The 25,882-nt window shown below is 39.0% G+C and overlaps 1 protein-coding gene across 5 annotated transcripts in view; it reads right to left on the bottom strand.

Moving 5' to 3' along the window:
- Nucleotides 3,705-25,882, bottom strand: part of TRIM69 (tripartite motif containing 69) — a 31,300-nt gene continuing 9,122 nt past the window's right edge. Inside the window, exons 2-7 of one of the 5 annotated variants that reach the window (NM_182985.5) lie at nt 16,156-16,632; nt 15,069-15,164; nt 12,678-12,911; nt 11,870-11,892; nt 11,660-11,784; nt 3,705-4,301 (exon numbers count right to left, since the gene is read on the bottom strand). In NM_182985.5, coding sequence (NP_892030.3) covers nt 3,760-4,301; nt 11,660-11,784; nt 11,870-11,892; nt 12,678-12,911; nt 15,069-15,164; nt 16,156-16,632 — 1,497 coding nt within the window. In that variant the 3' untranslated portion in view covers nt 3,705-3,759. Of the gene's footprint in view, nt 4,302-11,659; nt 11,785-11,869; nt 11,893-12,677; nt 12,920-15,068; nt 15,165-16,155; nt 16,633-25,882 lie in introns of all 5 variants that reach the window. The other 4 variants (NM_001301144.2, NM_001301145.2, NM_080745.5 and 1 more) reach the window with 4 other exon arrangements.

Here is a 25,882-nt window from a genome sequence, read left to right as displayed (position 1 = left end):
CTGTAGATGTTGGCATGGATGCAATGAACAGGGAACACTTCTACACTGCCGGTGGGAAAGTAAACTAGTACAGCCACTATGGGAAACAGTATGGAGATTCCTTAAAGAACTAAAAGTAGAATATCGGGGGTGTAGGTTCTTTCTGTTTTCCCTAAGTGTCAGCCAGTCTGAGAAACAAAGAGAAAGAGTACAAAGACAGGAATTTTACAGCTAGGCCGCCAGGGGTGACATCACATATCAGTAGGTCTGTGATGCCCACCTGAGCCGCAAAACCAGCAAGTTTTTATTAGGGATTTCAAAAGGGGAGGGGGTGTATGAACAGGGAGTAGGTCACAAAGATCACATGCTTCAAGGGGCAAAAAGGAGAACAAAGATCACATGCTTCTGAGGAAACAGGACTAGGGCAAAATCAGAACTCCTGATAAGGGTCTATGTTCAGCAGTGCACGTATTGTCTGGATAAACATCTTAGCAGAAAACAGGGTTCAAGAGCAGAGAACCAGTCTGACCTCAAATTTACCAGGGCTGGGGTTTCCCAATCCTAGTAAGCCTGAGGGTACTGCAGGAGACCAGGGCGTATCTCAGTCCTTATCTCAACAGCATAGGACAGACACTCCCAGAGCGGCTGTTTATAGACCTCCCCCAGGAATGCAATTCTTTTCCTAGGGTCTTAATATTATATTCCTTGCAAGGAAAAGAATTTAGCGATATCTCTCCTACTTTCACGTCCATTTATAGGCTCTCTGCAAGAAGAAAAATATGGCTCTTTTTGCCTGACCCCACAGGCAGTCAGACCTTATGGTTGTCTTCCCTTGTTCCCTAAAATCGCTATTATTCTGTTCATTTTCAAGGTGCACTGATTTCATATTCTTCAAACACACGTTTTACAATCAATTTGTACAGTTAACACAATCATCACAGGGTCCTGAGGTGACGTACATCCTCAGCTTATGAATATAACAGGATTAAGAGATTAAGACAGGCACAAGAAATTATAAGAGTATTATTAGGGAAGTGATAAATGTCCATGAAATCTTCACAATTTATGTTTTCTCTGCCGTGGCTCCAGCCGGTCCCTCTGTTTGGGATCCCTGACTTCCCGCAACAGTAGAACTACCATTTGATCGAGCAATCCTACTACTGGGTATCTACCCAGAGGAAAAGAAGTCATTATATGCAAAAGATACTTTCACATGCATGTTTATAGCAGTACAATTCACAATTGCAAAATCATGGAACCAACCTAAATGCCCATCAATCAACAAGTGGATAAAGAAAACTGTGGTATATTTATATGCTGAAATACTACTCAGCCATAAAAAGGAATGAATTAACGGCATTTGCTGTGACCTCAATGAGATTGGAGACTATTATTCTAAGTGAAGTAACTCATGGAATGGAAAACCAAACATTGTATGTCCTCACTGATATATGGGAGCTAAGCTGTGAGGATGTGAAGGCATAAGAATGATACAATGGACTTTGGGGACTTGAAGAGTGGGAGGGGGGCAAGGGATAAAAGACTACAAATATGATGCAGTGTACACTGCTCAGGTGATGGGTGCACCAAAATCTCACAAATCACCACTAGAGAACTTACTCATGTAACCAAATACCACCTATACCCCAATAACTTGTGGAAAAAAATTTTTAAAGTAAAAATAAATAAAACATGTTGCTTTAGTTCAGTGGCTGTCTGCCCCAGCCACACATTAGAATCGCCTGAGAGCTTTTAGAAACTAGTGGCTTGTAGCTACTGTACACTGGGACTCTAGCAGGGTTTCACTTGATAGAGATCTTTCCTTAATTGGTCTTGGCTGGATTCCAGGCATCTAAATTTTTTTAAAGCTTCCTACATGAACCTAATGTGTATCCAGGGTTAAGAACCATTGCATCTTAAGAATAACATATTTCAAGCCTGGGTAACATAGTGAGACCTCGTCTCTACTAAAAATAAAAATTTAGTTGGGCGTAGTTGCCTGCGCCTATAATCCTAGCTACTCGAGAGTCTGAGGTGGGAGGATCCAAGAGTCCCAGGCTGCAAAGAGCCGTGTTTGTGCCACTGTACTCCAGCCTGGGTGACAGAGTAAGACTTTGTCTTAAAAAATAATATATTTCAGCTGTAACTTTTTATACCTTAGAAGTGAATTAATTTTTAGTCAGATTACTTTCTATTGGCATGCCTTTCTTTTTCTTTTTATGCTGCTTTTATACCCTTTAAGACATTAAGCAAGATTCCAGGCACAAAATATGTTCTTACTACGTTCTGATTGAAGTGAATTCAAAAAAAACAAGGCAGTTTCTTAAATGTAGTCTTAATCCTGTTATGGCTGTTTATCCAAATCAGTTGTAAATGTATGCATATTGTATATAACAAACTACATGAATATTGTCTGTAGTATTTGCATTATTTTTCCCATACATACATTTAAGCTTTTGCCCTGACCCCCCCCAAAAAAAAACTGTGCTAATTATAATTTTAGAGGGCCAATGCTGAAGGTCCTAAAAAGTCCCCCCAAAACTGTCAACTATAGAGAATAAAGCCCATTTAGATGAGGACTTCCAAAGAAAGGAAATAGGGACAGTCAATCAAGAGTACTGCTGAGATCAATGATGTTAAGAATTTTAGACTTGGAAAAAGCTCAAGGATGAGTATATTGGAGAGAACAAGATGCAAAATACTACTTAAATTATAGGCAGGAATGATGAAAAAGGACGTAGTCAAAAGTAGATGGAGGTTGGGTGTGGTGACTCACATCTGTAATCCTAGAACTTTAGGAGGTCAAGGTGGGAGGATGCTTGAGGTCAGGAATTCAAGACTAGCCTAGGCAACATAGTGAGACCCCATCTCTCAGACTGCATACATATATATATATATGCATGTCTCCTGCAGATAGATAAAGCAGGGAAATGGAACTGAGAAAGGAAAGGAAAGAATTACAGATTTGCTGGACTAAAATGTATCTTGAGAGAATTCAAGACAAGATTATAAACTAGTCCAGATCATTTCCTACTTTTTTATTTAAGCCTGTGGAGCATGGTTTAAAATTACAGGACAGGCATGGTATCTCACACCTATAATTCCAACACGTTGGAAAGCTGAGGCATGAGGATCTCTTGAGCCCAAGAGTTCCAGAAAAGCCTGGGCAACATGATGAAACCCCATCTCTACTTGTGGTGGCGTGCGCCAATAGTCCCAGCTACTCAGGGTCTGAGATGGGAGGATTGCTTGAGCCCAGGAGGTTGAGGCTGCAGTGAGCCATGATCATGCCACTGCACTCCAGCCTAGACAACAGAGCGAGACTCTGTCTCAAAAAAATAAAATTACAGCAGTAAGTTCTAAAAAAAGAAATACGATGAAAATGTATATCAAAAAATAGTAAGAAGAGTGAACACCTGAAAATTCATCTGCTAAGGGTCATTAAGCTGGAAAATATGACAACATGATCATTTCTGGGCATATTTGAAAAGGGTTCCCAAACATCACAAACTCAAGTTGCAGTTTGCTCCAGTAACAGTAGCATGATGATCACTCTCATGAGAGTGGCTCCTGTGTCATAAAAGACCCCAGAGAAGAATGATACCTTGAAAGCCTCCAGTGAAATCCATTTAGGATACTGAAAGAATGGAATTTGATTTGCGCATCCTCTTTTCATTATTCCATAGTTCCCCAAAAATTGAGAAGAGAATCCAGTGAGACTGGTAAAATATTTCAATACCTCTTTAATAACACTCTGAATTTGTATAATATTATGACTCATTACTGTGGATGTAAGATGTGCAATGGTTCTTTATTCTCTCCACCATCATTAAGGCAGGGGCAGAAGTAGGGATAAAGTTTCTCCATGAAAGTGTTACTGAAGGTGTAAATGTGAGTCATGGTTTTAGCATTGTAGAAGGACAACTGTCCTCCTTCATAATCCAGGTATATGCCCACCTTGTCGAGGTTGTTAGTCAGTGTCAGACTGAAAGAAGGCAAATCCAGAGCCTTTAGATCAGTTTGGTTCCTTAGTCTTAAAAGCCAGAATCCTTGCTCAGGAGTTAGAGGACAGCTGCCCTTCCGAATGATGGATTCTCTGACAACTCCAACTGTCCATTTTGTCTTCTTTGCTACTTCTACTTCCCAGTACCACTTTCCAGAGGTGAAGCCTCTTGAGCCCAGTACAGCCACACTTGAGTCAAACCTCTCAGGATCATCAGGCATTATCTTCTTAATGTCACCATGCCAGACGCTGGTTTGGCTTTTGGAGAGCACCAGATTTGGGTGAGCTGTTTTAGGGTCCAGAGTTAGTGGAGACAGGCCTAGTAAGAAAATAAAAGAAAGCAGAGCATGGGAGAAAGGGGGGTAAACACAAATTCCCACAGTAAAAGATAGTATTTCATATTCAATAGTACTTTATCTCCCCATACACATAGACTCTTAGACAGGCAAGCAATTACTTATATGCTTTTTTTTTTTTTTTTTTTTTTTTTTTTTTTGAGGCAGACAAGGTTGCCCAGGGCTGGAGTGCAGTGGTGCGATCTCGGCTCACTGCAACCTCCGCTTCCTGGGTTCAAGCAATTCTCGTGCCTCAGCCCCCCAAATAGCTGGGATTACAGGTGTGTGCCACCACACCTGGCTAATCTTTGTAATTTTTTAGTAGAGACAGGGTTTCGCCATGTTGGCCAGACTGGCCTTGAACTCCTGGCCCCAAGCAACCCACCTGCCTAGGCCTCTCAAAGTGCTGAGATTACAGGCATGAGCCACCGCACCTGGCCACTTACATGCTTTTTATTGTTTGGGTATCCATGTTACTATATTCTAGACATTTTTATATTTAGGGTAAAAATCAGGGTTTACTCAGAAGTAATTTATGCTCTACTAAAGGAAACAATACAAATAATATAAACCTATACTAATAAATATAAGAAAATACAAATGCCAAAGGGGTAAAAATTAGGTAAGGATGTTCTAGGAAAGCTTTCTGAGGAAGGTAAGTATTCAGTTGTATATACATGAGATGTATTTAGGATGTTTTGAATAAACGGAAAGAAAGAAATGGATTAAAAACAGTCCCCTGTGTGGAAGAGAACACAAGAGCTTGCCTGTTAGACACAGGCAAGACTGAACTAACTGGTACAGAGTTTAGAGGACAATAGTGAGAGGTTTATTTTGGTTTAACAGATAATGAGATTTTTGAGATCTAGAGTGGTTTATGTCATTGCTACTCATAATGTGGTCCACATACCATGTGGTTAACAGTCTCGGACAAAGATAGTATAGAAATTAACAGTAAACTTTTAAAAACTTTCATAGCAAATTGACAGTAATTTTATGTCAGTTGAATCTAATAATTACAAAATTGGGCTTGTACTTTGTAATCTTTGCTTTTTTTAATTTTACTTTTTCAAGTAATTTATATTGTATTCTACAAAAGTATCAGTCCATGACAGATTGAGATTTTTTTGATTGGCCCTTCATCACAGATAATTTTACAAGCATTGGTTTAGACAATTCAAAGGGCAGCAGTATAAAAAAGAATATCTAAACTAAATGAAGAGAGGTTGAAAGCTGACCAGCAAGAGGATGACACAAATTCCAGATGTGAGATCATTGGACCTTGACATGAAATTTGATAAAGGAGACCTAATAGCTATGTGTGTGCACACCATGGACACAGATACATGTATGCATGCATTTGTTGTTATTGGATTTATTTATCCTTGGAAGCAGAATCAATCTAGTTTCTCTCTCTCTGTTTTTTTTTTGTTTGTTTGTTTGTTTTGTTTTGTTTTTTTTGAGATAGATTCTTGCTCTGTCCCCCAGGCTGGAGTGCAGTGGCACAACCTCGGCTCACTGCAACCTCCGCCTCCTGGGTTCAAGCAATTCTCCTGCTTCAGCCTCCTGAGTAGCTAGGATTACAGGCATGCACCACCACGCTCAGCTGATATTTTTTGTAATTTTAGTAGAGACAGGATTTCACCATGTTGGCCAGGCTAGTCATGAACTCTAGTCTAACTCTATCTTCTCAGAAAAGCCTGAGTCTTTTCCATTATCCCAGGGACTTCTCTTTCCAACAAGAGGCTTTGAAGAATTAAGAATCTTGAATTTTTCCATATAGGCTAAATCCCTATCCCCTTACATATCCCCATTCACTTTGGGTTGTTAATCTTTCTGATGTGAGGACTGGGTTTTCTTTGGAGGTACCATAAAGACTTTTTAGCAACGTTTTGGAATCCCACTCTGCTCTCTTTGCTAAGCCTCTGACACATCTCTAGCTAGTTCAGCCTGCACTGGCTCTGAAGATTCCCATGAGTCAGCTTTTTGTCCTCTCTTTCCTTCTCATGCCACGTTCATATAACGAAAAGTTCTGTCAGCTCCACCTTCAAAATATATCTTGTGCCCAAACACTTCTGACTACTTCCAGAAATATCACTGGCCTGGAACTACTGCAATAGCTTTTTACTCTTCTGTTTCCTCTCTTGCCCATCTGCACCCTATTCTACACATATCATGAATGAGATCAAGCCATTTCCCTGCTCAGCATACTCTTATGTTTACCATCACATCTGAGATAAAATCCAGAGTCCTTATAGAGGAAAAAAGAGCCACATGATTTACCTACCTCTCTACTTCATCTCCTACCACACTTTCCCTCATTTACTTTGATTCATCCACCCTTGTCTTTTGGCAGTTCCTTGAACATAATGAAGATCATTCCTACTTCAGGGTCCTTATAATTTCTTCCCTTGTCCTAGAATGCTTTTTCCCCATATGGTTCACTCCACATTATTTGGGCATTTGTTCATGCAAATATTTTAAATTGAAAAATTCCCTAAGCTAGAGTAGGCAAACTACAACCAACAGGTCAAATCTGACCCACTGCCTACTTTGTAAGTAAAGTTTTATTGGAGCACATTTATGACCATTCATTTATATGTTGTCTGTAGCTTCTTTTTCACTACAAGAGCAGAGTTAAGTAGCAGCAACAAAGACCATACACCTGCAAGGCCTAAAATATTTACTCTTCAAACCTTTACAGAAAAGTGCCAGCTCCTGCTCTAAAGCAACAGCCTAATTTATAAGGCTGGCAGAAAAGGAGAATATATGGATCTACAAAATAAGCAAAGACTTAGAAATAAAAAGTATGGAATATATTTTACAAAGGTCTGACCACAGTTACCATAGAAAAACAATTTCCCACTCTGTATAGAGGGAGAGTATATGGATAAATAATACATTATTAATAAATAGTCATATATTAAATAAATCTCATTTGGTTTTCTTGATGTAAAATTATACCAAAAATTTAAAAATCAGTTTGCATTTTAAAAGATTGCTAGAAGTGAAGTTTGGCTTTACAGAGCAAAGTATACAGGAAGAAAAACTCTGTCATACCAAGGCAGCTACAATTTGCTAAGCAGAGTAACACAGAGGAGGGAACTTCACAGAAACTTACAAACATCTACAAAGGGATTCTCTCAAGGCTGTGGCTGAGTACTAATCTGCACATGCATGCAGTGAAACTCGTCAAGGCCAGAGAAAGAACCTCCAGAAATCAATAGACTGAACAATTTCTGGAGCTCACACAAGGCTGGGAATAATTTTCAATCTTGCCAACCAGAATGGAAAAATGTCGTAATATGTCAACGTCAGGTAGGGTAATCAGAAGGGTATATTACTTTAGAAAATGGGCTAAGTTAGCCCTAGATTAAAGGCTGCTCTTGAGCCACTCTAACTAGGCTTTATTTAAGCCTCAGAAGGAACAAAATGATGTCATACCATGTTAACTGCATGCCAGAGTTAAATTCAATAGAACTGAAAGAACTACAACAAAATCCAGCAAATACAAAATTCACCAATATGAATTCATCAGTACAAACAATATGAAATTCATCATATTTGGCATCCAGTAAAAAATTACCAACCAGAAGAGACAAATCTCCAGGGCAGCAAAATTTCAAATAATTTACATTAATACACTACCCTCAGGGAGAGGGAGCATAACTATCCCCTCCTTAAGCGTGGGCTGTGCACAATGACTGCCTTCCAAAGTATACAAGTATAGAAGGAGGGAAAAAGAGTACAGTGGAGAAACCTGACAGACACTTCCTCAGCCAGGTGATTAAAGTCAACATCAATAGTCATAAATCATGTTGACGGTATGAACACTTAATGTGATGTGATGACAATGACACTTTAATGCTACTGTCTTCCTCTCCCAATTAATAACCCAAATTTTATGAGGAAAACATCAAACAAATTGCAATAGTGCAGCATCCTTACAAAATATATGACCAGTACTCCTCAAAACTATCTAAGTCATAAAAAATAAGGCAAGCCTGAGAAACTGTCACAGCCAAGGGGCACCTAAAGAAAATGACAACTTAGTGTAATGTGGCACCTTAGATGGAAACCTAAAACAGAAAAATGACATTAGGTAAAAACTAAGAAAATCTAAAGGAACTATGGATTTCAGTTAATAATGTATCAATTTGGTTCATTAGTTGTTAAAAATGTTAAATCTAAGATGTTAATAATAGAGAAAAGTGAGGATGGGGCATATAAAAAACTCTATACTATCTTCTCAGTTTTTCTGTAAAATTAAAAAATCTAAAAGTGTCCTAAAAAATAAAGCCCATTAAAAAGAAAAAGATTACTAGCCATACAAAGCAGCAGGAAAATATGACTCTCAGGAGAACAATCAAACAATAAAATCAGGCCCAGAAATGACAATGATGATAGAATTAGCAGACAAGGATATTAAAATGGATAAATGTCTTCCATTTTTTCAAGAATGTAGAGGAAGGCATGAACATGGTGAGAAGAGATAAGAAAGATATAAAAAGACCCAAATGAAACTTCTAGAAATGAAATGTATATAAAATGAAAATATCTTGAACAATATTAACAGAAGGTTAGACCATGCAGAAGAAAAGATGAGAACTTGAATAACAATAGAAACCATTTAAAATAAAGTGTGAGGTGAAAAAAGGCTAAAAAAGTACTGAATATCGATGACATGAGACAACTTGACAATATCAAGTTGTCTAAAATATGTAAAATTAGACTCCAAGAAGGAGAGGAGAAAAGGGGTTGGTAAAAAAGTATTTGAAGAAATACCAGCTGATATTATTCAAAATTTGATGAAAATTATAAACCCTTAGATCCAAGCAGCTCAATGACGCACAAGCAGAATAAATACAAAGAAAATCACACCAAGACCACGTATAATCAAATTGATGGAAGCAAGTGACAAAAAGCAAGTCCTAAAATTAGCCAGAGATGGCCAGGTGCGGTGGCTCACGCCTGTAATCCCAGTACTTTGGGAGGCCGAGGCGGGCAGATCACGAGGTCAGGTGATCGAGACCATCCTGGCTAACATGGTGAAACCCCATCTCTACTAAAAATGCAAAAAAATTAGCCGGGCGTGGTGGCGGGCACCTGTAGTCCCAGCTATTTGGGAGGCTGAGGCAGGAGAATGGCGTGAACCTGGGAGGCGGAGCTTGCAGTGAGCCGAGATTGCACCACACTCCAGCCTGGGTGACAGAGTGAGACTCCATCTCAAAAAAATAAATAAATAAAAATAAATTGAAAAGGCAAGCCATGGAGTGAGAAAAAATATTTAAGAAACATATATCTGATAAAGGATTTGTATCCTTTACAACTTAATAATACAACAATTTAACAAAAATATAGACAAAAGTTTGAACACAACCAAAAAAATATATGAATGGCAAGGAAGCACCTGAAAGGACGCTCAACAGGATTGCTCATTAGGGATATGCAGCCGGGCACCACGGCTCATGCCTGTAATTTCAACACTTTAGGAGGCTGAGGTGGATGGATCACTTAAGGCCAGGAGTTCAAGATCAGCCTGGCCAACATGGCAAAACCTCATCTCTACTAAAAATACAAAAATTAGCTAGGCATGGCAGTGCGCGCCTGTAATTCCAGCTACTGGGGAGTCTGAGGCGCAAGAATCACTTGAGCTTCGGAGGCAGAGGTTGCAGTGAGTTGAGATGCACCACTGTACTCTAGCCTGGACATCAGAGTGAGACTCTGTCCCACCCTCCCACCAAAACAAGAGATATACAAATTAAAACCACAATAAGATACTACTATACATTCAATAAAATGGTTTAAATTAAAAAGATTGACAATATCAAGTTTTGGAAAGGATATAGAGAAACTGGGATTTTCACTAATTGCAGGATGGATAAAACTACCATGGACTACCCCATGTCCATCAACTGGGAAATGAATAAGTAAACTGAATAAATAATCATGATTATTGATACATGGAACAACATAAGTGCTCAAAAAGCATTATGCGGCCTGGCGCAGTGGCTCATACCTGTAATCCCAGCACTTTGGGAGGCTGAGGCGGGCAGATCACGAGGTCAGGAGATCGAGACCATCCTGGCTAACAGGGTGAAACCCCGTCTCTACTGAAAATATAAAAAAATTAGCCGGGCATGGTGGCAGGCGCCTGTAGTCCCAGCTACTCGGGAGGCTGAGGCAGGAGAATGGCATGAACCCTGGAGGCAGAGCTTGCAGTGAGCAGAGATGGCACCACTGCACTCCAGCCTGGGCAACAGAGCGAGACTCCATCTCAAAAAAAAAAAAAATTATGCTAAGTGAAAAAAACCAGAAGACACAAAACACTACATAATGTATGCTATCACTTAGACAAAAATTTAGAAAAGACACATTTAAAGTGAAATAAAACATGTCAGTGAATGTTAGAGGCTGAGAGTAGAAGGAAGAGATTGATTTCAAAGGGGCATGTAGGAACTTTTTGGAGTGATAAAAATCTTCTATATTTTGATTATGGAGAGGTTTACCTAAGTGTATATATACATCAGAACTCATCAAATTGTGCCCTTAAAATTGGATAATTTTACTCTATGTTAACTATATCTCAGTATAGTTGATTTTTCTTCAATGTCAATTACCTGGAAAAATTTGCGATTTTTCATTAAATCAGGGATATATTTGTGATTTCTCATTAAATCAATAACCATAAACAATAATAATAATGATGAGTCTATGAATTCTATAAAAACTCTATTTAGAATTTTATTTCTATAAAGATTTTTATTTAGAACTTTATTTGATGTTCTTGAAATGCCATGTGTGTTATTTTATCTTGCTCAGTCCTTTGGTATCTACAGGAACACAAAAACTTAGTGTCCTTCTTAGGTATGTTTATTTAAATTATTGGTTTTCTTCTGAAGCACTGAAGATCTAAACAATCTTCTAAAATGTTCTACGCTATGAACATCAAGCACAAAAGAAACTGTAAAGACCCAGTGTACATAAAAAGAGTATGTTCAGAAACCTCCTCCTTCTTCAGAGAAGCCCCTGGGATTCATATAGCTGATTTAGCAAAACAAGATAAAATTTTGGCTGTTGCCACATTTCATAAATCAGTCAAAATCATATGCTAAGAAGTAATCCTGATATCAAACTCATATCTATTTACCAGCACAAAGTCATAAATTCTTAGGTCATGGTACTAGAAGAAATTCAGTCATACCAACTAGCCTCCTTTTGGCCAAACTGTACCCCTTCCCTATCCCAGACTGTAAAAACTTAATTAGGGCCACAGAAGAAGTCCCACAGATTAAACGTAGATTAGGAGCCTCAAGAACCAATAGTTACTACCCACTGATACCTGGGCAGAGAGTGTCCTGCATTTCCCTCCATACCATGTACTGGATAGGACCTTTGTACTGGCCCAGGTTCAGCTTTCTGGAAATAAGCTCTCTGGTTGCCAGCACCTTCATTCCTTGCTCCAAGCTGCAGGGCACATAAATCATTTATCCTTAGACATCCTCCAGAGACTCAAGGAATGATATTAATAGTACCATAGGGAAACACTTACCTATGTAAGAGAGTTGTGATGTCCTAGAAGAAAGGAGAAAGAGAGACATCAGATGCCCGTTCATCAACTCTCAAAATTTCTTTGGTGATACCAGCCACCACCAGAATTTGTGCAGATGGTCCCGAACTCATCTCTACCAACTTCTTTCATCCTTCATACACTTTTTCTAATCTTCATCCCTGATCCTAACCCAGGTTAAATTGATCTTTTGCTCTTTCTAGAGTTCTCTTCTACAGGGAGCAAGACAGAAGCCAATAAGACAATACTTAAGGTTAAGCTATCTTTACCTATACTTTCAAATAGTCTCAGAAGAAAAACACATTAGGTATCCCAGTCCCAAGGCCACTTTTCCTTACTCTAGCTAATTAAACTTCTGAGTGCTGAGATGGTAACCAACGCTTCTTTAGAGGTGAAGCTTAAGAAAGCAAAGGTTAGAAAACAGCTTTTCAGACAGGTCAGCTTATGATTGCTGAGAGCCAAAGATACAACTCAGGCTGCAACATTTTTATTTTTGAGAAATAAAGCATCAAGCTCTTTATGGAAAAATATTAAACCATTACTATATACTATTATTAATGGAATTTAAAAATCGTATTTCCTAAGAGGATGAAAGTAAAGCTTTCTGCTGTGCGTATAGCTGAAGCAGCCTCCTCCTTTTCTTCCAGAGAATCTTAAAAGCACTATAACAGTTTTGTTTTGTTTTGTTTTGTTTTCCCTGGATGTGAAAAGCCACTTCCGCATTCTTTCCAAACCTCTTCCCCCCTCTAGGTAGGAAGGTACCCATAATCATATTGGTGTGGATTCTCACTTTGAGAAAGTCGAAGGAGTTCTGTTGTTCCGTCTTTGCCTGAATGCTCACCAACATATCCTTGGCTAAGAGACATTGCTCCTGAAGCTGGCTCAGATTCAACTCCATCTCCTCATTCAAGGCTTTCCCCTCTTCCCGGAGCTCAGTTAAAATGTCCTTTTCTTTGCTGTGCAGGAACTGATGCAGCTTTAGAAACTCCATGGACACATGTTGCTGCAGATGTAGCTTGTTTTCCTGGAAACCTCCATGATTATCACCATGGTTATTGCAGAGACTAGTGCTTGGGGATGGGGGCCCACACCACCAACACTCACACACTTGGTAAATACCATCACAGAAAAATGCATACAAATGGCTACTGAATATCAAATTCAGTCATACTAAAATGAGTCCTTTGGGAGACTTACTCCTTTTCCAACTAATTTAATAGTTCAGGATGAAATAGGCAAAAGTGACCTCCAGTTTCCTATTGCAGTACTGAGATGGTAACCAATGCCATATTAAATAAGACTGTGGAGTTAGTCAAACATTCTAGAATGAAAGATAATACCCTCCTAGATTGGTAATCCAAAAGCTGCCAAGTGGTACTGTTAGACTGGGGGTATTGGGAGGCTGGAAGAACTGTCCTTACCTAGAAATCAGAACTGGGGGAATGCCACTGTTACACTTGCAGCTTTTTCCTTGGGTTACCTCAACATCCTCACAGTTAAACTATTTGACATCCTGGCTTCTCAGTTCCTCATTCTCCTCATTTCTAGTGATTTCCACATTTATTGATTCATTCCTATAGTCTCACCTAGGATTTTATCACCCCCAGCAATTGTATCATCTCCAAAATAACTTTTTATGCACCAGGCTCACTCAGATACTCCTATTGCAACAATTATTGGATCTCATTGAAACCTCCTATTCACCGATCCCTCCATTTCTATTCAGGAACTTCTACCTTCATGTCCTCTCTTATCTAGCTTGGATCCCATGGTCCATAATTATTATTGCACCTTAAGATAGTCTTGGCTGGGCACAGTGGCTCATACCTGTAATTCCAACACTTATAGAGGCCAAGCTGGGAGGATTGCTTGGAACAGGAGTTCAAGACTGGGCAACATAGTGAGACCCAGTCTCTCCAAAAATAAAATAATTAGCCATGTGTGGCAAACTAGTCCCAGATACTCAGGAGGCTGAGGTGGGAAGATCTCTTGAGCCCAAGAGTATGAGGTTACAGTGAGCCCATATCCACCTCATCAATATCATCTTGCTTAGCATGTTCCAGCTTTATTGGCCTTTTCTCTGTTTAACATAGCAGCTAACTTTCCATCTCAGGACTTTTCCAGATACTCTTTTCTATTCCTAGAACATTCTTCTCCAGGCTACCTCCTTCATATCCCCACTCACCCAGTTCACTTGGATAAGTTACTTATCCTTCAATTCTCAATTTTTAATGTGACTTCTTCAGAGAACACCCCTCCCCCAGTCTAGATTATGTTCTCCATTTATATGCTATCATCATACCCTATACTTTCAGTTATAGTACTTATCACAGTTGTTATTTTATTATTACTCATGGGATTATTTAATTAACAGCTGTCTCCCATCCCCAATATCTAGTATTATGCCTGACCCACTCAATAAATATTTGTTAAATGAATGAATGAATGCTCACACTAATAGGAACTTTTACAAAAGGAACAAGATTTTCTGAAGACATCATTACTTCCATATATCCTTCTTCTTTCCCTGAGTCTGCATATTTTTTTCTTCCAGATGCCAAATACCTGAGAAGGCTCTTCTCCATAGAATAATGAATAAAGAAACAGAACTTCCAATTTAGCACCCCCAATCTAGGGACTGATTTGCCAAAGCTCTAGCCATTAATGTTGTCCTAGAGTGCCTATGAAGTTGAAAGTGCAGACAATAGCTTTATTTAGCTTGGAGGAAGCTAAGAAGATCAAATCAGCTGGGAAAAGCCTATGACCTTAGAGACCTAGTCCAGAGGTGTCTGGTTATAAACTCAAAGGAAATAAAGGTATTTCTTTGGACATAGCAATCTTTAGTGATTGATTTTTTTCTAATAAGTTCCTTTTTTTTTTTTGCCATAGATAAAGCCAAAGACCAGACACATTTCAACGCCACGACAGTCACCTGGTGACTGAACTATCGAAAAGATCAGCATATTAGGGGAAAGGTTAATCTGCTCTGTTGATCAGCTATTAGGAACCTACTCCACCACCATATTCCTTTCCACCCTACAGACTCAGTTTTCCAATTCCATAGCCTAGGTACCATTTAGTGTGTAGATAATATATGTTAGGCACCTTTGTACCCATAGCTGAAGTTACATGGAGGGTGTGTTCCAGTTCTATCTCATAACCCCTCTTTCTTGCTCCTCACCTTGTGAGCAGCAATAGCTTCCTTCTGCATGTTCCTCAGGGTCTGAAGCTCCTTCAGAGTTGTCTCCAGTTGACCCTGTTGGATGGCAAGCTCCTCCTGGGAATATCAAATAGAATTAACCCAGACTAACTCGGGAGATGAAGGACCATAAAGGACATCTTCCCCAAGGCCCCAGTGTGCAAGAAAAAAGCAAGCTCTTGCTGCAAAAATCTTCCCCTTCCCCTGTATCATAGTTCTTGTCTCGTTCAAGAATTGTGAAAAAGAAAAGAAAAGGCCGGGTGTGGCAGCTCACATCTGTAATCTCAGCACTTTGGGAGACTGAGATGGGAGGATCACTTGGGCCCAGGAGTTTGAGACCAGCCTGGGCAACATAGTGAGACCCATCTCAAAACAAAGAAAAAAAAAGAATTATGGAGTAAATTACAGCTTAAAACTTAGTTTTTCTCTCTTAGTAGCTAGCTACAGGGATTTGAAGAAGGGAATAGAACTCTACACATTTTCCACTCTAGTTATATACTGTTCTCAGCATCTATCATTTTACTTGTGTTGTTCTCACTTGGAACATTTGTTTCTTCCTTCTGCCCTTCAAAATCCAAATGATTTCCCAGTTCAAGTCCTTTCCCTTTCTTTCACTATATGTCCCCTATTTCATTTTTCTCTAATAGTCTCAGAAATTCTAAACCCTTAAGAATTACAAATGTGACAAAATTTAACTTTTAACACGAGGCTATCTTAATATTGCTTCTGTTGTTTTCTTCATTTTAAACTTAACCAAATTTTGAATTTTTTATAACAAGAGCAATATCTTATCTATCCATATTCTACACAGTGTTTAGCAGAGTGCTACCATGGCAGAGTTTAGGTACAGATTTGATTGAGGGAGTAAGCCAGGGCTCCTCCACTGTTCCTTTCCTATAAGCAGCAACTCTAGAAAAAGAACTTTGCAAGATACGTTGTACTTTCTGAGCAGTCTGGGCTTTCTAATCATCATTTGAATAAAGGGATGGGGTTGGAAGAAAGAAGAAGCCCTATGAAATATTTTTCCTAGTTTTTCTAAGGGATTGTTCAAGGCCCAGGGCTCACCCACCGTGAAGAAATGGACAGCATCAGAGATTTGCAGGAACTCCTTAGACTGCCCCACAGACAACCGAGCATCCTTGCATTGAAAGCAGATCAGTTTCCCATCTGGTTTACTGAACAGTTTCAGGTTCTCTCCATGCTCTGGGCACTGTGGATGGCCCTTGAGTAAGGGTAACTTCTTAATCTTCTCTACCAACTTGTCCAGTACAGGGTTGAATGTACAGTTGTTATACTGACATAGCATCTTACACTCAGGACAGAATGTTTCCTTTGCTTGCAGCCTCCAAAAGTCTTGGATACAGGCTTCACAGAAGTTGTGGCCACAGCTTAGCATCAGTGGGTCTCGGAACCAATCATTGCACAGAGGGCAGTGTAGCTCCATAGTAATATCTTGTATCACCACTTTAGAGGGTAGGTGGGTGATTGAATCATTCATTTCAACATAGTCGCCTGGATCGATGTTGGAGGAGGGGTTGGTGGATACCTTTAGAAAAGAACAGCTAAAATGAGTTTATCTTTCTTGTTGCCCATTTTAACACTCCAGGATGATGGCGCCATTCCTAAAGGAGCTGAAAATTGGTACAACTAAAGTAAAAGCACATAATCTCTCCTTTGAAAGTGAACCAGTAACTTGAGTGTTTTCTGAAATTATAGCGTATGATGCTATTTAAACTTTAATAAAGAATCAAGGCAGAGGAAGAAACAGTACTAAATCAAAGAAATGTACTTTGTTGTACATCTCTCTCTTTACCCACTTTCCCCAAGTGTCTTTTGAAAGTTTTATTTTTCAACTTCTGCTCTACTAGTTATTACCTTTATTTTATTTTTGTTTTCTAGAAATTATATACAAAGAATTGGAAAATCAATCAGATTCCTTAGTCAGTAGTGTGATATCGTCAACCATCCAGGGTCCCCTTCACTCCTTTTTAAAAAAACACATTTCAGGCCAGGCGCAGTGGCTCATGCCTGTAATCCCAGCATTTTGGGAGGCCAAGGCGGGCAGATCACGAGGTCAGGAGATTTAGACCATCCTGGCTAACACAGGATGGTTAGCCATCTCTACTAAAAATCTCTACTAAAAATACAAAAATTAGCTGGGTGTGGTGGCAGGCGCCTGTAATCCTAGCTACTTGGGAGGCTGAGGCAGAAGAATTGCTTGAACCCAGGAGGCAGAGGTTGCAGTAAGCCAAGACCACGCCATTGCACTCTAGCCTGGGCAACAACAATGACACTCCATCTCAGAAAAAAAAAAAAAAAAAGGAATGACCAACAATGAACTGAGCCTAAGAGATCCACAAGACACTATCAAACAGACATAATAAGAATTTCAGAAAGAAAGGAGAAAAATGCAGAAAGAATGTTTGAAGCAGCCGGGCACTGCGGCTCAAGCCTGTAATCCCAATACTTTGGGGTGCCGAGGCAGGTGGACCACCTGAGGTCAGGAGTTAGAGACCAGCCTGGCCAACATGGTGAAACCCTGTCTCTACTAAAAATACAAAAAATTAGCTGGTCATGGCGGCAGGCACTGGTAATCCCTGCTACTTGGGAGGTTGAGACAGGAGAATTGCTTGACCTGGGAGGTGGAGGTTATAGTAAGCTGAGATCACTCCACTGCACCCCAGCTTGGGCAACAAGAGTGAAACTCTGTCTCAAAAAAAAAAATTTTTGAAAAAGTAATGGCTGAAAACTTCCAAAATATGATGAAATTTTACATCCAAGAAGCTCAACAAACTCCAAGCAGGATAAATTCAAAGAGATCCACAATGAGACACATTATAATTGAAGTGTCCAATGACAAGGAAGGAATCTTGAAAGCAGCAAGAGAGAAATGACTCTTCACATACAAGGGATTCTCAGTAAGATTACTAGCTGATTTCTTTTCAGAAAATATGAAAGCCAAGAAGGAGAGAGATGACATATCTGAACTGCCGAAAGAAAAAAACTGTTAACTAAGAGTTCTGTATCCAGCCAGGCACAGTAGCTCACACCTGTAATCCCAACACTTTGGGAGGCCAAGGTGGGCAGATCATTTGAGCCCAGGAACAACATGGCAAGACCCTGTTTCTACTTTTTTTTAATTAAAATTTTTTAAAAATAAAGAATTATATATTCATGAAAAGAGGAATTAAGACATTCCCAGATAAACAAAAACTGAAGGAGTTGTCTAGTAGTCTTAATCTACAAAAAATGCTAGTAGATCTGCTCTAGAAGAAATGCTAAAAGGAGTCCTACATGTTGAAATGAAAGGAAACTAGGAAGTATCTCCAAGCCATATAAAGAAGTAGAGACCAGTGAAAAAGTAGCTACATAGGTAAAGTCCAATATTGCAGTTTTTGGTTTCTAACTCCTCTTTTTCCCCTATTCAATATAAAAGACAAATGCACAAAACAATAGTTATGTGTGTTAATGGATATGCAATGTATAAAGAGATAATTGGTGATAATAACAACAAAAAGGAGAAAACAGAGCTGAAAAGGAGCAGAGTTTTTATAGTAAAATTTTTTGCTTTGTACTATTAAAACTAAGTTGGCATTAATTCACCCTAGATCGTTATAAAGTTGACTAATTATAACCCCCTGGGTAACTACTAAAGAAAAAACTACTAAGCAATATAAAGAAAAAGAAAAGAGAAGAATCAAAATGTTATGCTAGAAAAAAATCAGTTAATCACAAAAAAGGGAAGTAATGAAGGAATTTAGAAACAAAAAAGCACATACAGAAAATAACAAAATGGCATAGGTAAGTCTTTATCAGTAATTACTTTAGACGAAATAGATTAACTTCTGATTAAAAGGCACAGATTAGGAAAATGGATAAAAATAATATGACCCAACTATAGGCTGTCTACAGGAGACTCACCTTAGAACCAAATACACAAACAAGTTGAAAGTAAAAAGTTGGAAAGACAATCCATACAAATAGTTACCCAAAAAAGATGGAGTAGCTCTACTAATATCAAGTAAAATAGACTTTAAGATAAAAATTGTTAAACTTGTTACAAGAATACAAAGAAGGATATTATCAAGGATATGATATAAAGGTCAATCAATCAAGAAGATAAAACAATTATAAACATATACACACCCAACAACAGAGCCTCAAAATACGTGTAGCAAAAAGAGACAGATGTGAAGATAGAAATAGTTCTAAAAAATCGTACAAAATATCTCTGACTACAATGGAATGAAACTAGAAATCAATAACAGAAGAAAAACTGGAAAATTCATAAATATGTGAAAATTAAACAACACACTCTTAACTAATTGGTCAAAGAAGAAATTATAAGTAATATTAGAAAATACTTTGAGATGAGTAAAAACAAAAATACAGGCTGTGCACAGTGGCTCACACCTCTAATCCCAGCACTTTGGGAGGCTGAGGCAGGCCAATCACTTGAGCTCAGGAGCTTGAGACCAGCCTGGGCAACCTAGTGAAACCCTGTCTCTACCAAAAATACAAAAAGAAAAAAAAAAAATTGGCCATAATGGAACATGTCCGTGGTCCCAGCTACTGGGAAGGCTGAAGTAGGTGGATCACCTGAACCCAGGAAGTGGAGGTTGCAGTGAGTCAAGATCACATCTACACACTCCAGCATGGGTGACAAAACAAGACCCTGTCTCAAAAACAAATAAACAAAAACACACAGCATGTCAAAACTTATGGGATACAGTGAAAATAGTGCTAACAAGGAAAGTTATAGCTATAAACACCTACATCAAAAAAGAAAGACCACAAATCAATAGCCAAAATTTTCCCTAGAACTGGAAAGAGAGGTACAAGCTAAACCAAAGATAGCAGAAGGAAAGAGTAAAGAATAGAGGCAGAGCATGGTGGCTCATGCCTGTAATCCCAGCATTTTGGGAGGCCAAAGCAGAAGGATCACTTGAACCCAGGAGTTTGAGACCAGCCTGGGCAACACAGTAAGATGTCATCTCTACTAAAAATTATAAATAATAATTTTTTTAAAAGGCCAGGTGTGGTGGCTCATGCCTGTAATCCTAGCACTTTGGGAGGCCGAGGTGGGCAGATCACCTGAGGTCAGGAGTTCAAGACCAGCCTGGCCAATGTGGTGAAACCCCATCTCTACTAAAAATACAAAAATTAGCTGGGCGTGGTAGCGAGCACCTGTAATCCCAGCTACTCGGGAGGCTGAGGCAGGAGAATTGCTTGAACCTGGGAGGGGGAGGTTGCAGTGAGCTGAGATCGTGCCATTGTACTCCAGCCTGGGCGACAGAGCGAGACTCCATCTAAAAAGAAAAAAAAAAGTTAGGTGTGGTGCATGCACCTGTAATTCCAGCTATTTGGGAGACTGAGGTGGGAGAATCACGTGAGCCTGGGAGGTCCAGGCTGCAGTGGGCCATGATTGTTCCACTGCACTGTAGCCTGGGCAGCAGAGTGAGGCCATGTCTCAAAAAAAAAAAAAAAAAAAAAAAGGCAAAAGAAAAGAAACAAAATAGAAAATAGAAAAACAATCTACTAAAAAGATAAAAAATCAGCCAGGCGTGGTGGCAGGCGCCTGTAGTCCCAGCTACTCGGGAGGCTGAGGCAGGAGAATGGAGTTAACCCAGGAGGCAGAGCTTGCAGTGAGCCAAGATCGCGCCACTGCACTCCAGCCTGGGTAACAGAGTGAGACTCCGTCTCAAAAAAAAAAAAAAAAAAAAAAAAAAAGAAAAAGTAATGAAATAAAAATGCGATTCTTTGGAGGGAAAATCCACAAAATTTAGAAACCATTAAGTAGACTGATGAAGAAAAAAAGAGAGAAGATTTAAATTACTAAAATCAGAAATGAAAGTGGGTAAATTAGTACAGATCTTACAGAAATAAAAAAGGATTATAAGAAACTATGAACAATTGTATGCCAACAAATGAACAACCCAGATGAGATGGAAAATTTCCAGAAGCACACCAACTACCAAAACTGACTCAAGAAGAAACAGAAAATCTGAACAGACCTACAAAAGTAAAGAGAGTAGATCAGTAATCAAAATCCTCCCAACAAAGAAAAGCCCAGGACCAGACGGTTTCACTGGTAATCCTGCCCACTATTTAAAGAATTAATATCAATCCTTCTCAAACTCTTCCAAAAAAACAAGAGGGAACACTTCCTAATTCATTCTGTGAGGATAGCTTATCTTGGTCCTAAAGACAGATAAAGACATCACAAAAAACAAACTATTTTTAGTTTTCTTTTTGCAAAAGAGTGAAAAGACAACTCACAGAATGGAAGAAAATATTTGCAAATCCTATACCAGATAAGGTCTATTATCCAGAATAAAGAACTCTTACAACTCAATAGCAAAAAATAAACAACCCAATTTTTAAAATGGACAAAGGACTTGAATAGACAATTATGCAAAGAAGATAAACAAATGACCAACAAGCACATGGAAAGATACTTAGTATTACTAGTCATTAGGAAAATTCAAATCGAAGCCACAGTGAAATACCACTTCACACTCACTTGTATTGCCGTAATTTTTTAATGGAAAACAATAAGTATTGGTGATACAGAGAAATGGACTCTTGTACATTGTTAATTGAGAATATAAATTGGTGCAACCACTGTGGAAATCAGTTTGGCAGTTCCTCAAAAAATTAAACAAAAAACTACCATAAGACAGACCTACCAATTCCACTTCTAGGAATATACCCAAAAGAACTGAAAACAGATAGTCAAACAAAAACTTGTACCTAAATGTTAATAGCAGCACTATTCACAATAGGCACAGGTGGAAGCAATCCAAATGCACATTAACTAATGAATGGAAAAGTGTGCCATATTCATACAATGGAAGATTATTCAGTCAGAAAAGGGAATAAAGTATTCATACATGCTACAACATGGATGAACCTCAAAAACATTATGCTAAGTGAAAAAACCCAGACACAAAAGGTCACATATTACACGATTCCATTTATATCAAATATACAGAATAGGTAAGTCTATAGAGACAGCAGATCATTGGTTGCCAGGGCTGGAGAGAAGGAGATATGGGGAGTGACTGCTCATATCACTGGAAGTGACTGGTCATGGGGTTTCCTTTTGGGAGGACGAAAATGTTTTGAAACTAGATAGAGGTGATTATTATACACCATTGTGAACGCACTAAATGCCACTGAATTGTACATCTTAAAAGATTAATTTTATGTTGTATGACTTTTACCTCAATTTTTGAAAAAATGGAAGCTGTAGGCCAAGCATGATGGCTCACGCCTGTAATCCCAGCACTTTGGGAGGCCAAGGCAAAGCTTGATCGCTTGAGCCCAGGAATTTGAGACCAGCGTGAGCAACATGGTGAAACCCTGTCTCTACCGGAAAAAACAAAAACAAAAACAAAAACTGGGTGTGGTGTCACGTGCCTGTAATCCCGGCTACTCGGAAGGCTGAGGCTGGAGAATCGCTTGAACCTGGACTGTTAAGGCTGCAGTGAGCCTAGATCATGCCACTGCACTCTAGCCTGGGCGACAAAGTAAGACCCTATCTCAAAAAATTAATAATACTAAACTGAAGCCATTTGACTCCGGAGCCAGAATTTTTTTTTTTTTTTTTTTTTTTTTGAGACAAAGTCTCACTCTGTCGCCCAGGCTGGAGTGTAATGGCATGATCTTGGCTCACTGCAACCTCTGCCTCCCAGGTTCAAGCGAGTCTTCTGTCTCAGACTCCCGAGTAGCTGGGATTACAGGCATGCGTCACCATGCCTGGCTAATTTTTTGTATTTTTAGTGGAGACAGAGTTTCACCATGTTGGCCAGGCTGGTCTCGAACTCCTGACCTCAAGTGATCCACCCACCTTGGCCTCCCAAAGTGCTGAGATTACAGGCATGAGCCACCACGCCCAGCCCAGAGCCAGAATTTTTATACTGAATAATATCCTGCTTTGCAGAATGCTATATAATGCCTTCCAGGGTGGGCTACTATTTGATGAATAGCCACCAGAAGTGGCCACCAGAAGTGGCTTCAATCTCAGTGCCTAAAGGTCTAATGGTGTAAATAAACATTCAGTGATGGCAGCTTTGTTTCTATGCCCATACTTCCTGGGTCATAGAAATGAATAACATAGAGGCTCTGCCCAAGAGCTGCTCACATCTGGACCTCCACTACATTTATGGGACCAGGACAAAGTGCAACTAGAAGTCCCTAGCTTCTACTTTTCAACTTGCATATCATCTTCCTCTGAAGGATAAAAAACTTAAATATAGACAGAAGATGTATTCTGAGGCAAAATCCCTGAGAGTTTGTCCAGAGGTTACTCTTCTGTTCTTGAGAGGAAAACTGGAGCTCAGAGGAGTACGAACTTGCTCTGACACTCAAGTCACTGGTGAAATCAGGGAATTCAAAGAACTCTATCCTGAAGGCCAGAGCAATTTCCATCTGCTATATATCCACTTGAGAATTGGAGTATCCAGAACTGCTCTGTTCCTCATTCCTAACCCTGCCCATTCCTCGTTAGAAGTTTACATTTACCTCTCCTTATGGGCTTAGTTTCCCTTATATTCAGATTTATTCTAGCCAGGGGAACATGGCTAAACATTCTTTGCCTCATGATCAAATTCCATTCTCATTAATAACTATTTATATTGCCCTCATTCCATGTCTACATTCTCACTTTTGTTGTGAAAATGCTTTTGATTGAGTCTGTAGCCCTTTGCTCCATAGTTTCTCACATAGCCTGTGTTCCCTATTGCTGATGCCTGATCTCCCCAAACCTGGGTCTTGCCTGTCTGGACCTAATACGGCCATCTTCTCTTTGAATGTTGCCTTTCAACCATTCTCTGTAGCCTCTTTTTCTGAAATTCCTATCAGACAGATGTTGACGCTTCTCACTCCAGTCTTTATTTCTATTAATTTCTTTTTCATATCTTCTAACTCCATAACTTTCTGTGCTTTGCTTTGGACATTTTCTCCCATTTTGTTGTTTTATAGATGCTATTTATTTTGTATTTCTTTAAACACCTTTGAATGAGGTGAGTTCTTCCTGAATCAGCTATTTGCAAGAGACTTGTATGAGGATGGAGGCAGGGTTATATTTGAGGCTATTTTCTTTATAAAACAATGTTTGCATGGGTTCTTTTTTCCCCATGATCAACACTGCAGGGTTGTTTGCAATGCAGAGTCTCTCTCCTCCATTCTACCTCAGCAACAGACTGCTTTCTGAAAATATGGCATATTTGTCCTTGTTCAACTTCACCTTTCCCATATCTCAAATCTGTATAACAAATGGGTTACTCCAGCTTAAGCCTGCTTGCCTGTTCTCTTTGTTCTGTACCAGGGCTTGTGGGTTGTGGCCAACAGGATGGGGTACTTTCTTTGGAAAAGTACCACCTCCCTTCATGTAAGGTCTGCTTCCCTAGGCATCCTTTCTCACATTCCTGCTTGACTTTCACTATATTTGGCAGTCCTTCCTCATAGATTGTAGTCCAAGCTATTTGATGTCTCTAGTTTCATTGCAAATTATTTGTCTATTTTTCATTCTCCTTGTGGTTTTTGACTTAAAGAAGGATGAGTTTCTAAGAGAAGGGAGAAAATTAGTTTTTAATCCACCATTTAAAAACTAACACTTAAATTGTTATTGACACTTTAACGTTTCTATATATTTAAAGAAAGATGTGTGTGTGTGTGTGTGTGTGTGTGTGCACGTGCACGTGCTGGGAGTGGGCAGAATATTTCAAATGTCCTCAATATATGAATTTGACTAGACTGGGTAATGGACTTTCAGCATTAATCAGTGTGGATGCCTTTCCTGAAAGATAACAAATTTACCTCCAGCCCACAGGAATGGGAATGCAAAGCCAATATTTAGTGTTATAGAAAATACTATGTGCTATTCTTTGCACACTTGAGTTTTAAACTAAGATTGATTTCTTTTTTTATATACAATTATTGGTTTATGCTATTATCTTTTAAAACTTTAGAAAAAAAAGAAGAGTTACAAACCAAAAATAGGTAGTTCTTTGATGAGTGCTTTTTTTATGTCTTTGTCTGGGTTCAAGTTATTGTCTAATGTCCCTTCATTTCAGCTTGAAGAAGTCCCTTTGTCATTTTTTGTAGGTAAGATCTACTAGAGATAAGCTCAGTTTTTGTCTGTCTGAGAATGTCTTAAATTCTTCTTCATATTGGAAAGATAGTTTGGCCAGATACAAAATTCTTTGTGGATTATTCAATTACTTTGAAGATGTCATCCCATTGCTCTCTGGCTTCCATGATTTCTGATGAAAAATTAGCTGTTAACTTATTGAGGCTCTCTTGTACATAAGTCACTTCACTCTTGCTACTTTTAAGATTATTTTTGGCTTTTAATAGTTTAATTATAACTTGGTGTGGCTCTCTGTTAACTTACATAGAGTTTGTTGAGCTTCTTTGATGTATAGCTTTATGCCTTTTGTCAAATTTCAAAAGTTTTAAACCATTATTTCCTTAAGCATTCTTTCTGTCCCCTTCTCTCCTCTCTTCTGGGACTCCAACTATGCATAACAGTCCCACAGGTTTCTGAGGCTCTGCTCATTTTTATTCATTCTTTTTTTTCCCTGATCTTCAGCATAATCTCAATTGACCTATTTTCAGTTTCATGAATTCTTTCTTTTGCCTGCTCAAATCTGATTTGAACACTTCTTGCGAATTTCTCATTTCAGTTATTATGCTTTTCAACACCATAATTTCTCTTTGGTTCCTTTTTATAACTTCTACATCTTTGCTGGTATTCACTATTTGGTGAGACATCAGTCTCATGGTTTCCT

The sequence above is a fragment of the Homo sapiens genome, chromosome 15 (assembly GCF_000001405.40).
Source record: "Homo sapiens chromosome 15, GRCh38.p14 Primary Assembly".
Classification (NCBI taxonomy): domain Eukaryota; kingdom Metazoa; phylum Chordata; class Mammalia; order Primates; family Hominidae; genus Homo; species Homo sapiens.
The sequence above is the reverse complement of the archived record's forward strand: the minus strand, read 5'-3'. Positions and strand labels throughout refer to the sequence as shown.